The sequence below is a fragment of the Homo sapiens genome, chromosome 6 (genome assembly GCF_000001405.40).
Source record: "Homo sapiens chromosome 6, GRCh38.p14 Primary Assembly".
Taxonomy (NCBI): Eukaryota; Metazoa; Chordata; class Mammalia; order Primates; family Hominidae; genus Homo; species Homo sapiens.
Genome location: NC_000006.12, coordinates 167,911,621 through 167,925,197, shown reverse-complemented (window position 1 = coordinate 167,925,197; position 13,577 = coordinate 167,911,621). Strand labels below are relative to the sequence as shown.

The following is a 13,577-nucleotide window of genomic DNA, read 5'->3' as shown; positions in this document are numbered from 1 at the left end:
CGTTATACACAGGTGGTAAAGTACTCCCACACGATCCACTCTGACAACCACTGATTCAATGCCGAAAGACTGGAGAGAACAACTCGCACGTGACTAATTGGCCTACCTTTGCTGCAACAATGCTAAGGCCCATTCCATTCTGCTTTTTTAGGGTCACAGTGATTATTTCAGGTTCTTTCCTCAGAGGCTGAGCCTAAAGGATGAAAACAAAGGTTTATTTTATGACTGAAATGGAAGTGCTTCTGTATGGTTAGACAACTCATGATCTAGTCAATCATGTTCACTGGAGCAAATGGGGAAAGAAAAAGGATGAGAAGATAAACAGTAAAAAAAATTTCAATTAATATAGATACTCTTCAGGTATTAATCTGGTAAACTAAATCGATATTCTTGACTCAAGTCTTAAAGATGAATTTAGTCACAAATGCTATTTAAATTGATTTGAAGAACTTAGTTTATGAAACAAAATTAAACTCCCATTACTATCAGGTAGAAAGCCTGATCGTAAGGAAAAAATTCAATTTTCACTTTATTACCTTTCAAAATAAATTACCAGTCTTTTTGTGTTTTCAAAGAAGAAATGTAAACTTATTTTACACTATCCACGGGGAGGACTGCAAAAAATGGTTATAACAAAGATGACCTAACGTCTTTGTCTCTTGCGAAAACCCAGCAGTCATTTTATTTTAAATCACAGCACCAGGGCCGCTGCAGGACTCATGCAGCAACACCCAGAGCACGCTGCTATTGAGTGAAGCCCGCCTGGCTGGGTAAGGAGCCTAAAACTGACAGACCGTAAGGCAAGACAGCTCCTGACAGACTCAAAGAATGAGAAAGCAAAATTACTCATTGAAGTTACGTATTCTATACATGTCACTCCTATACGCCAAAGAGTAAACAAAATTCAAGAAGAAAATTAACAGTGCATACACACTAAGGAGGAACTTAAGTAATTAAATATATAAGCAGGAAGGTACCTTGCCAAGAGGTGGTAATTATACATATGGCTTTTTAATTTAGAAGGATAATAACTAAAGCTTGTAAGAGACTATTTTAAGGAAAATAAAATTAGTTGACATTAGAATTATTATTTTTTTTTTTAAATCAAAACCTGAAATCTCCTGAGGAATCTTAGAATAAACTAAAAAGACGAGGAATGAGTGAATCTACCTAGAAGGTACTTGTTTTTCCACAAAATTGGGTAAACAGAAGTTGCTGCTGTTATTTGGGACTTAACAGACAGCAGTTAGTAAAGTCAATAAAAAGTATTAGGGGCCGGGCGAGGTGGCTCATGCCTGTAATCCCAGCACTTTGGGAGGCTGAGGTGGGCGAATCATTTGAGGTCAGGAGTTCGAGACCAGGCTGGCCAACATGGTGAATCCCCGTCTCTACTAAAAATTCAAAAAAATTAGCCAAGTGTGGTGGCGGGCACCTGTAATCCCAGCTACTGGGAGGCTGAGGCAGGAGAATCGCTTGAACCCAGGAGGCAGAGGTTGCAATAAGCCAAATCGCGCCACTGCATTTCAGCCTGGGCGACTGAGCGAGACTCTGTCTCAAAAAAAAAAAAAAAAAAAAAAGTATTAGGGTATGTTCACTTTGTCAGTAGTTCAATGTGATCATCTATTTGGTACAAAAGAACGATCATCAATTAATTCAATTTCTGGAGATGGCCATGATATGATGCTCAAACCTAAGGTATGCCAGGAAGCCAAATTAATTACTTTGAATATACAAAAATTCCTGTTTGTGTTTAAAACTGTCTATATGAGGCAAAGTAGAATTGTTCTTAACATGTATGAAACTGGGAAATTTTGGGATTTACCACTCTTTCAAAAAGATATAAAATATTACTAAATGGCTTGATATATATTTAAGACAAGGCAGAACTGACTATAAAAGAATGAAATATTTCTGCCAAAGAATTTTAAGAAAATATTTTAAGGTTATCATATTAATATGTTTTAAAATATGTATTAAGACTGGTACAACCATGGGTATAAGTGTTCTTTATTTTAAAAAGCACCACTGCTTACAGACAAAACTGTAATAGACATGGCTTGGGAGGAAAAAATACATATATATGAATTATGGCTTGAAAATTTCTGAATATCAGTATTTAACAGCGATTTTAAAACTCTGCCATCACACCAATCTTCAGTGTAAGAAAGAAACAAATCTGCATCACATCTTCAAGTCCTAAGGATCCATTTCACTTCATGGTACCCTCAAAATACTTGCCAGCTCTGTGTTCTCACGCAGAAGGTGACTTTCATAATCTGCACCTTCAAAATATATTGTCCAAGTACCTGGTGAACGTGTGTGAGGAATTAACCTGCAAAATCCTAAGGAGGAAACAAGCAAATTGTAAGTGAAAAAGCACATCTTGTCAAGATAAAGGAAGCAAGATTAATTACCAATTGCTTAATATCCAACACACGGTATTGATTCTTCTTACTCTACACCTTTAATCCCCTCTGCAAACTGAATTACCAGACATTTAAAATTATCCATTTGTTTTGGTCCAAGAGCATTTCAGCACCAAGCAGTAAAGTAAAATTGGCCTCCCACTCCTCTGTGTTCCAAAAGAACTTTTTTCTTACTCCTATAAGAAATTACCAAATAGCCTTGTCATTACTTCCTTGCAGAACCGTTTACTCCACTACACTAAGAGATCCTTAATAACATTCAGAATACCTACTTAGCAAAGGGAAAGAAAAGAGGGAAGGAGCCAGAAAACAATACGAGCATGGGGTGTCTGCCAGCACGTCAGACTCTCGGTTCAACTACTTACATTCAAATTACTGGGTAACTTGTATAACAATTCTAGGAGTCCTCCTCATTACTCTGTCCAAATTTACTTTTAAGGTCATACTAATTTAAATTTCTTACAAATAAAGTTCAGAATCATTTTATAATGTTTTCAAGAATATCTCTGATATTTTCATCAGGGACAAATGACATGCTTTGTAAAAGTAAGCCTTTCAATTCAAACTAGGTCATTCCTCATTTAGTCAAATCCTATTTTGTTTCTCAGCAATGTTTTTGACCAACTCCTATCTATCACACGGGCCCTGAACAATCCTCGGTACATTTTCTCTACTGCCATCTTCTTCCCACTATCAGCACCTAACATTCATCAAGAGCGTCCTGTGTGACAGACTCTGCGCAGCTTTTCACCACAGTCTCAAGTGGTCTAATGGCTTGGACTGGTGAGGAGTTTTCCCTGGCAGTAGCTGACAGTCTCACCCATTCCAGTGGTTCAACAAGGAGAAAATTCTGACCGTTATTTGTGGACAATTAGGTTATTTATGGTAGGCAAAAAAGGAGACGTCAAAAACATATTCAGTTAAAATAAGTATACAAAGTAATTTTACTTAGTTTTTTTTTTTATTTTTTAAATCACTATTTCAATTCAGATTCATGAAAATATAACCTACAACTTGCTTCTCTTTCTCATGTTTCAGGGAATCACTAATTTATCATGATTTTGAAATCTGAACAATTATAAATTATTTTATTTTTTTCAAGGGCCGCATTTCCATAACAAGCTCTGGACCATATTACAAATAGAGGTTTGGCTTTATTAGCTTACGGAATGCATCTCAGACAAGGAATGAGTCCAGGCTGGTCGTACAGTCTTTTCTCACAGAACTGTATTGTATGAAGGAAACAAAGGAATATATATTGACGGCACAAAGTAATTCTTTAATCAGCTTGTAAAGAATTGAGTGTGAAGCATTAAAAACACTGATGTCATGAAAGAAAACACTCGATTCTTTGTAAGTCTTCTAAAGGCATCTGTGTACTAAGCTACGTGTACAATGATCATCTAACACACATGAAGTAATGTGGTGATGCCTCGGCCACGGAAATATCACGTATGTCCTAACATTAATCATTTAAGAGAGCTTATGGGGAAGTCACAAAGAATACTCCATCATCAAGTCAAGAGCTCACTATTTCCAACTTGGTGAGGATCCGCCCTATGGCACATGTGACAAAACTGGCAGTTGCTTCTAACCTATAAACTATACGCATTTGCAAAATGCTAGTAGTCACCTTACATGCTTATTTGCAAGGTATTAATTATAAAAACAACAGTTACTGAGCACTGAACATACAGCAGGCCCATGTGAGGTGCTGAGGATCAGAGAAAGTGCAGCTGGTCAAGCCCAGGATCTCAGGGACCACCCTCACTAAGCGTGGAGGACAGACAGCGGCACGCGTTTGAAACACAATGTGACCAGTGCAAAAATAGAAGCAAGTAACTAAGAATCACTCCTGGGGAAGACATGTTAAGTGTGGGGAAGACATGTTAAGTAGGAAGACACTGAGGTTTTCCACATAAAAGGACGCCTGATTAGAATTAAGAAAATAAGTAAGTGTGTAAGTTCAACAGCAGGAGCAGGAGTAGAGTACCGACAACGGTAACAGCACAGATATTAATAATATACAGTTCAATATGAATGACATCTATAGTGTGCGTATTTCAAGGTGAAGAAGTAAGGCTGGAAGATGATGTCATGCTCAACAGTTTAAATTAATCCCACACATGACAGAGGAAGAGTTCCTGGCAGGAGAGCGCCATCCGCAAACCATGGTTTTAAGATACCATGGCAATATGAACAATAGAATACAATGAAAAAGTGGAGTGAGGAGACTGTCCGAGGACTAACGCTCTAAGTAACCCGTGTGTGGGGAAGAAGCCTGTGGGAAGGAAAGCTGGCTGTGCTTTCTGACTTGCTGAGATGCAGCACACTGGGAAGGATACTTCTCAGCAGTCCCGTGGTGGCCGAGTGCCTGCCGCTTGGAAGCTGTGCTGCTGCCTCTGGGTCCACCAGTGTGTGGCATGAGGCTTTTTCCAGGGAATGGCAGAGCACGGAACTAATGCTCTGGGGCTAGTTCAGGCCCACTCCATTTCTCAGACCTGCACTGAAACCCAGCCCTCCTCCTTCCCCAACCTCGTCACAGGTGCACCTCTACCAAGACTGAAGGCTCTCCCTGCCTACTCCTGCTCCTACCCCTCTTCCTTCACACACACTTTCCTAAAAGACCTCACCCCAGCCTCATCTCACCTTGGCCTCTCTCTGCGTCTCTGAGGATGGCACTGAGCCTTGAGCACCTTTTGGAAAGGCTCAGAGGTAACTGTTTTGCAAACACATTTCATTAAAGAAGCAGCCTTTGTAAAATGATTTTTTTAACTATCAGAAACTTTGAAGATATCTTGAAAGGTATAAAAACGTATTTATTGTGGGGAGTGAAACATTCACTGAAATTAAAAATCACACTCACCAGATTTATATACCTACGGGCATAAAACCTCTATCGTTATTACTTTTATGTGTTTAAACAAACCCCTACACTTTGAGTCTAACTTTCTACTCATCTGAGCTGTTTTCTACTTTATGAAAAAGTGGCAGACTGGGATTAAAATTTGGTCTAATACAAAACCTCATACATCAGAAATAACTGTGGTGTTTTTGATCAGTACAGATCACAAGAAAATGTAGTAAAAGTGACATAATAAAATCCAGGAAATCAGTTGTATTCGAACCTTTCAGGGCTATAAGCCCTTCACACAGAAAAGCACACAACATGCTGGAGTTTGGGTCTTGCCAGCACACAGGCGCAAGCCAGCTTGGCAGTGCTGGCCACAGCAGCAGCAGCACTCACACCCACTCGCTCTGTGCTAGAGTTCTGCATGCTCCACAGGAAACCATTCAGTCCTCCCAAGAATCTCTTAGCTGGGTACTATCAACATGCCCATTTCACTGAAAAGAAACTGAGGTGCCAAAGTCACCTGCCAATGGCAGCACAGCCTGTAGGTGACAGAGGTGGGTTTAGAATGCAGGCAGTCTGCTTCCAAAGCTTGTGTTGCTCTTAACTGCTATGCTGGTATCAACAAAGTTTACAATTTAGTGCTAAAGGAATGAATCAACCTACTACGCTCATAAAATACCAAGAAGGGAGAACAATAAACGGTTCCTTGTTATCAGCCCAGGCAGAAAATGTAACCATGACATCAAGTGCGCAGAGCAGATGCTCACTACAGGGTCACAAAACATGCCCAAGGGCTCTGTGTCTCGACACTTCTGACCTTACATCACCATGAAATATTTCTCCAAGTCAGTGGAACACGGACTTCTCCAGACAGCACGAGGGTGCACTCCCACACAAGTGGACTACCCTATGAGATGGACAATGAATAAAATGCTCGCTTCAACCTGGGGCGTAGCTCAGACTCAGGCATTTAGACTAATTTACCTCTCTGGCACAGAGGGTCTAAAAATTCTTGTAAACCATTTGGAATGTTTCTGACAACATCACAAGAATAACCATCTTCTGGCAAAAGAAACGGCAGCTGCAGATCAGGATCCTCCTCCAACTGCACTTCCCTTCCATCACTGCGGGCCAGCTCATCGGCAGTGTTTTCAGCCACAGTCACTACATTTTCTATAAGATCCTGTTTGGAAAACAAACGCAAAATTAAAAAGAGATGCTCACTGCCTGGTGCATGTGACCAACAACTATTCAAAGGCTGTCTGCTCACTGCAGCACAGCTTATCTCACAGACACACACACACACACAGACAGACGCAGGGTTACGGAGGGAGCACAGGTCCCAGGAGTACCCCCATCATCAGTTTTCTAAAGCCAGCAACTCTGGGCCGCACACATTTTATAGATGAACCAAGATTTTAATTACTAATTTTAAGTAACGTGTAGCTTTAAATAAAAAGAAATTGTTCAATCACAAGAAGTTTCTTTTCTAATCATTTTTTTCCTCACACAATTCTTTAATTTTCAGCTGTTAATAACTATATTTGTATAGAATGTTTAATGATATAGGGAAAAGCCCACACAATGTAAAATATAAAAGACCGGAATCAAATATCTACCCAGTATTTTTGCCAGTTTGGAAATATATCAATATATAGAGGTTATTTCTAAATTATTGGTTTATGGGTGATTTTTATTTAGACACGTTTTATTGATGTATTACCCACATATAGGAAAGTTCATAAATCCTAACTGTACAGATCAAAAAGATGAACACACCAGCTCAACCACCAGGTTCACTTCTGTTCAAGAAAAGAGAACATCGCCACCTGAGTAGCCACCCCATTCCCTATCACTGTCCCCTCCTTCTCCTTCAAAAAGAATGACATGGTTTTCAGGCTTCTATCACCAGAGTGTGATTTTGACTGTTCCTAAAGTGTACACAGATAGAAGCATATTCTATGCACTTTGCACAGGGCTGCCTTTTTTCACATTATGTCATAATGTTCATCCCAGTTGTTGTAACTGTAATTCATTCTTTCTCACATATTTCTTTAAATGACTATGACACGATTTATGTATATGCTGTGCTTTTGATTTGGTGATTTCCAGTTTCTGGCTGTTTTGTGCATGTCTTGTTAGCATAAACTCAATGCTGGTCAATCCATCCATCCACATACATAATTCTCATGACTCATATTTAAGTCTACAGTATTTCTCTTTATAAATAGCTAACAGTGGTAGATACTATTTCTCACCCTCTGTTTCTCCTACTGAGAGGCAGGCATACCAAAACTCCTGGCTCCATTCTGGATGAGAAGGGACAAGCCTCTCATTTCAGCTAGGCTGTAAGAGGGTGATCTGTGACAGAGGTACCCACCCTCTACACTCAGTTGTGGCTACGTACACTGGAACCCAACAGTCCTGGGCAGCCTCCTAACCTCCTCTCCTCTAGTCCTTCTGATGACTTCCCAAGAACCTAATTTCCTGAATAAAATCCCTTTCTACTTAGGAGTATAGTTTCTGTTTTTTCATTGAACTCTTGGACAGCAACACGAAAATGATCTTGTAAGATGAGAATAAATAAGTTAACGTATTAAATAGGATTTCCTTTTGTTTTTTCATCCAAATGTCCCCATGCAAACATGTCCCGCACTGTGTGGTAATGTGGCAACATCCACTCACCGTTGGGATAAAAGGCTCATCAGGTGCACAGTGATAGTTCTGTAATAAGGCTTGAAGTTGTAATGAATTTAACTTAAAGCAGGTGCTGTTTATATTTGGAATGTCATCAGGTGCATACTTATCCATGGTAAGCAAAGTCGTTGCCTATGTAAAAGAATAAAGGACATAAAATATCACACTTGTAAAGTTATTTCAAAAATATTATCCTTTATGTAATATTTATAAAAATATAACTTGCTAATTTAACTTTGAAATGCAGAATGATTTCAGGAAACAGACTTCCATTTACAGTAACTATATACATTAAATAGAACTAAAAGCATTATCTTGTAAAGGGCATCTTTTTAGATGCCCTCTTAATTTTATGACGTGCATGTATAATTAGATTTATGTTCGTAAAGCATTTTAAAAACTCTCTTCCAAAGCTAAACATTTACTTGACCATTCAGATGACCAATTACTGGTGTATGAATAGTTTCATCGTCCTGACTTTTCATAACCAGCTGTCTAGCCTCTATACTAAATCTCTTTTAAAAAAAGGTTTAAAAATGGAGAAAAAAATTATACGTAATACTAAAAAAAAAAGTCCTAGGTTTTTAAGCTGTAGATGACTCATTTCGTTAATTGCAAAACATCACCTCCTAGTTTTTCATATCTAAAAAATTTCCTCAGAGCTGGTTAAGCCACTGGGATATTATTTGGCTTTGTATTCTTGAGGGTTAATTATCATCCATTTTAAAACTGGTACTCATCTTTCACTGTAAAGTGTTCTGAAATCCATCTTACTGATCTCAATATAAAGAACCCTTTAAGGATATTTACAGTCCACTGGTTACCACTTATGAGTTAAACTGTGTCCCCTAAAAATTTGCAGGGCTAACCCTCAGTCCTCAAGAGTGTTATCTTTTTTCGAGACAGCATCTTTCCAGGGAATCATCAAGTTAAAACAAGATCAGCTGGTCCAATGTCGGCTGTCCTTATAGAAAGCAGTCTTTCGGACACAGACAGGCAAACAAGGAGAATGCCGTACGAAGACAAAGGCAGGGACTGGGATGATGCATCTACAGGCCAAAGAATGCCAACTGCGTGCAAACCACCAGAAGCTAGGGGGAAGGCCTGAAACAGATCCTTTCCTCAGAGCCCCCAGAAGGAATCAACCCTGCTGACATCTTGATTTCAACTTCTGGCCTCCAGGGCTGTGGAGCAACTGTTAAGCCACTCAGTTTTTGACACAGGTTCAGTATTCCTTAACTGAAATGCTTGGGACCAGAAGTGTTTCAGATTTTGGAGTTTTTCCAATTTTGGAAGATTGACATATATGAGATATCTCTGGGGATGGGACCCAAGTCTAAATATGAAATTTGTTTCATATACACCTTATACACACAGACTGAAGGTAATTTCATACAATATTTGAAATAACTTTGTGCATGAAACAAAGTTTGTGTACATTAAATTATCAGAAAACAAACCATGTAAACAATCTGCAGTTGCTTGGTGTCACCACCATTTCTAACTCTGAATTTTTATTTATCTATAAGCAATCATTTTATTAGATTTATTCAGGCTTAAGTACTTAACAGTAACAATTATGGCATACAATTAATACAGTGAAAAAATAATCTGTACTTTGTAACCGCAGCCCAAGTACTCACATAGCACTACTTCATTATTTGTACATACGAAAAACCCCAAAAAGAGGGTATTGAGGTTTTGCTGCATTGAAGCTCTTGCTCATCATAAAGATCAGATGCCTTTATCATAAAGCACATGAGCTGGGGAGTGGCACCAGCAATCACCTGCACGATCCTGCTCAGATGACAGTCCGCAGCCAGTTCCAGCCCCTGCTTCTCAGCCCAGGCTTCAATATGGCCCAACTGCTGACGGATAATCGCACCCCAGTAATGGGAGCACAGCCCCGAATCTGGGTCGGTCACCAATCTATTGAACAGCCACATATTGATGAAGTGGAAGAGCTGAGAGAAGAGCTGGATGGTCAGGGCGGCATTGACTCTGCAGCGTCGTAGCAAGGACATGGCTCCTGTGAGCGTGTGCAGCACATCATCTGCCCAGACAGGGTGAGAGGACAAGAGGAGCAAAATGTCATCCAGGAAGAAGCCTTTGAATGTGCAGCAGATTTAGATAATGGTACCTATGGTAGTAAGTGCCGTTTAATTACTTTAAAAATATCAACTTCATTCCAAGAGGAAACAGTGACATGATCTTAAACTACATATAGTTATTAACTAATTACACTTAACATCATTAGTTTGGCCTTAAGAGACTTTTTAAAGAGTATGGCCAGCATGACACACCAAAATGAGAACTATCTGTAAACAAAACAAATAATCGTTAAAATTTATTAAAGATTGCCAAACCCAAAAGGACATCCCATTTATTTTAAAAACACCTCCACTTACCTACGCTAAGCATTAAAATGATGCTAAACGTGAAGGAAGCGGGATAGAGGGAGACAGTCAGAAAACATCCTAACCTATTTTTGGTCGTTGCAGACTGTTCTCTTCAGGGTCATCTAGAAAGGCTGGCATGTAATTATTAAGTTCTGATTGAAGACAGTGAACCAAGTATCTGAAAATACATAGACAATTTAAGTAATCTTAGCATGACAGACAGCTATTGTCAGACATGTTATCACATGGGAAACAATCTGGACTCTTAAAAAATATTTTCCATTAAAAAAAAAATGTGGAATCTTGAAACATAGCTCACTGAATTCAGTATAACTATATTAAGGATATAACTATAGGTAGTTAATACATTTTGCAAAAATGTATGCTTCTTTATATTCACCTTCAATCAAGGTAAATATAAATCTTAAAATTAGTTTGGAAAACTGAATAAGAAAACAAATGACTTAATTATTTAGAGTAGTGCCGCCTTCAAAAATGTGTTCCTTACTTAAATGCCATTTGAACCAAATGTGCTAAAACATCTTGAGCATCCAGTGTGATCCGACTAAGGTCTCGGTCTTGCTTAATGAAGTTGAGAAGTTCAGATGCATTTGCCATCCAGAAGGCAAGTGCCCCTGCAATATTCTTCTGTTTCTGTAGACAGAACACACTTCCATAAGCAACAGAGAATAAACAAAAGTAATAAAAATATAAAGGAATGCTCTTGAAAAGCTGCTGAAGATAGACCAGTACCTTCCCATTTCACCAAGGTATTTACCACAGATACCAGATATTTGCAAAATAATTTGGGTGCATACATAGCAATGGGAAGTAAATAACCACTGCAACTATTTCTTAGGATTCATGCACATAGACATATGGATTCAGTTAGCTACAATTTATAGATGGAATCAGCGGAGAAATGGAGATATCAAATAATATAACACCAAATTGTAGACCGTGCATTATCTGGTAGTCTGTGCAGTATACATACATGTATCCATGGTTACCCACAGCCACCCTGATACTTGTAGTCACTGGCTTGGACACCATGCAACTCAGTATCAAGTACTGATCTATCACATCCTCTCCCGACCACATGTGCAGGCCAGGCAACCTCAGATGAGATCCAAAGAATAGGAACCAAGGATAAATAATAAAGAGAAGAAACAGAACTTTTGTCATTTCATATCCACACTGAAGTGCATTAAGCAGAAATTATGAAATGCCGATAAAGGTTGCACAGTCAAAAAGGGTTTTAGTACTGCATGTCTCAGTTGCTGAATGAGTGTTATGAGCTGTTCAGTCCAGCTGTTGTATTACTTATTTGACATGGGAGCAGCATGAGAAACTTGGCTAAGCAACACAGCTAGGATCAGCTCCCAGCAGATGTCCTACCTGGTCAACCTGGTCTACTTCCTGGAGAAAAACAGACGAGGGGAAATCAAGCAGAACGAGAGAAAGAAACTTGTAAACAATCATGATAGTTTAAAAAAATCAAAACACTAATATGAAGGTACGACATGAAGGTACGACATTTAGTTATGTTATTCCCAAAATAACATTTTCATTTATGGTTCTGAAGCACCTTTAGAAGTATACGACCTAAAGGATTAGTTTTATGTTCTTACCACTGGCACAATAACTAACTGTATTTTTAGAGTTTATCAATAAATATGATGTTACCATAAACACACATGAACACACTGATCTCTTTAAAAGATTTACAATGGAAGGACTTGTGAACGAACATCTTTCAGTGATATGGTGTGCTTACTACTTACTTAAAAGGTACCTAATAAGGTGAAAGTCCATCCCTCTAGATTAATTAATAGGAATGGAAGAGACAGGAAAGACCAAGAAACAATCAAAATAAAAGCTGAGAAGATGAGAATTTAAAAGTGTATAAATAACTTACACCTATACTAAAGGGAGCAAATTCTTTGTTTTTTGAAAATAGAATTTAAATTATTCACTACCACAGTTCTTTTCCACTACTTTAAGATTCCCCCCACTGGATACTAACCCTAAATCTGAAGTTTAAAAGACTTGTTTGATAATGGTGATTTCACTGACTAGTTCACATCAATAAGGAAAAGGCTATCAAGGGTAGTTTTATGATAGGTGTCTCACAACTCGAAACAGGCTTAGTAAGTCCAAACATGATAGAAGACAGACAATGGCTTTGAATGACAACTGAAAAGGAAATCCATGTTTGTTTATAAAATAATGACATGAAAGTAACAAAACGGTATCCAAATAAAATGACTTTCTTTTTTACCTATTTCCTAACTTGGGTAAAAGAAGCATAACCCTATCAAACTCATGCTAATCACTCAAATATAAAAGAAACATTTCTTGAAAAATTCTGGCCTTTGAAAACAATTCTGAAGGAACTAAAAGATCTTAGTTTCCCTCAAATGATCCTGCCAGGAGAAAAGCAACCAATCTATCTATGTTATTAACATTATATAACTAGAGTTTTATTAAGTTAAATAACAACATTGACAAGTGATTCAGAAAAACTGAAAAAATCTGTACATTTACTTTTAAGAACTTTAAAGATTAAATCTTCAAATCATCTGTAGATGAAAAACTGCTATGAAAATTTTATCAACTGTAGATCGGGACAGAAAGTACGTAAAGGAGTCAAACCATTCTACCAACAAAATACCTTTATCTTCTGAAATTTTGAAAACAGGTTTATGACAGAATTTCATTTTAAGTGAGAAGTATGTTACAATGTCCATTACACCTACACATGTGCTATCAAAAAGCCCAATTACTACCAACGTCTAGGCTCATTACACAGGAGCAAGTGACTTTTGAGAACCATTTTTAAAAAGTCTAAGAAGGCGTTACCAGGGAACGGGGGAAGAGAAAAACCCCAGGAACTACTTGAGGGGTATCGCTCTGAGGTGATGGAGACGTTTTGGAACCGACAGGGGTGGTGGCTGCACAACACTGTGAATGCACCAAATGCGACTGAATTGTTCACTTCAAAATGGTTAATATTATATGAACTTCATCTCAACAAATTATTTACAGAAAAAATTCTACAAAAGCCCACAACAGTCTCAGCACTTTCTCACAACTATTACTACAAGTTAACTTCACTTATGCTGAAGTTTTACAGGGAAAACAAAATAGAAAAAAGCTTGCATTTCCTTTCAACTCTTTAAAGTTATACATTTTCCTACA

The 13,577-nt window shown here is 38.2% G+C and overlaps 1 protein-coding gene across 53 annotated transcripts in view; it reads right to left on the bottom strand.

Moving 5' to 3' along the window:
* AFDN (afadin, adherens junction formation factor) overlaps window positions 1-13,577 on the bottom strand; it is a 145,460-nt gene that overhangs the window by 46,826 nt on the left and 85,057 nt on the right. For 33 of the 53 annotated variants that reach the window (XM_047418792.1, XM_047418793.1, XM_017010882.2 and 30 more), the window contains 7 exons: window positions 10,885-11,030; window positions 10,460-10,554; window positions 9,765-10,030; window positions 7,966-8,109; window positions 6,265-6,463; window positions 2,239-2,342; window positions 107-193 (listed from right to left, as the gene is read on the bottom strand). In XM_047418792.1, coding sequence (XP_047274748.1) covers window positions 107-193; window positions 2,239-2,342; window positions 6,265-6,463; window positions 7,966-8,109; window positions 9,765-10,030; window positions 10,460-10,554; window positions 10,885-11,030 — 1,041 coding nt within the window. Of the gene's footprint in view, window positions 1-106; window positions 194-2,238; window positions 2,343-6,264; window positions 6,464-7,965; window positions 8,110-9,764; window positions 10,031-10,459; window positions 10,555-10,884; window positions 11,031-11,774; window positions 11,796-13,577 lie in introns of all 53 variants that reach the window. The other 20 variants (XM_047418788.1, XM_047418789.1, XM_017010878.2 and 17 more) reach the window with 1 other exon arrangement.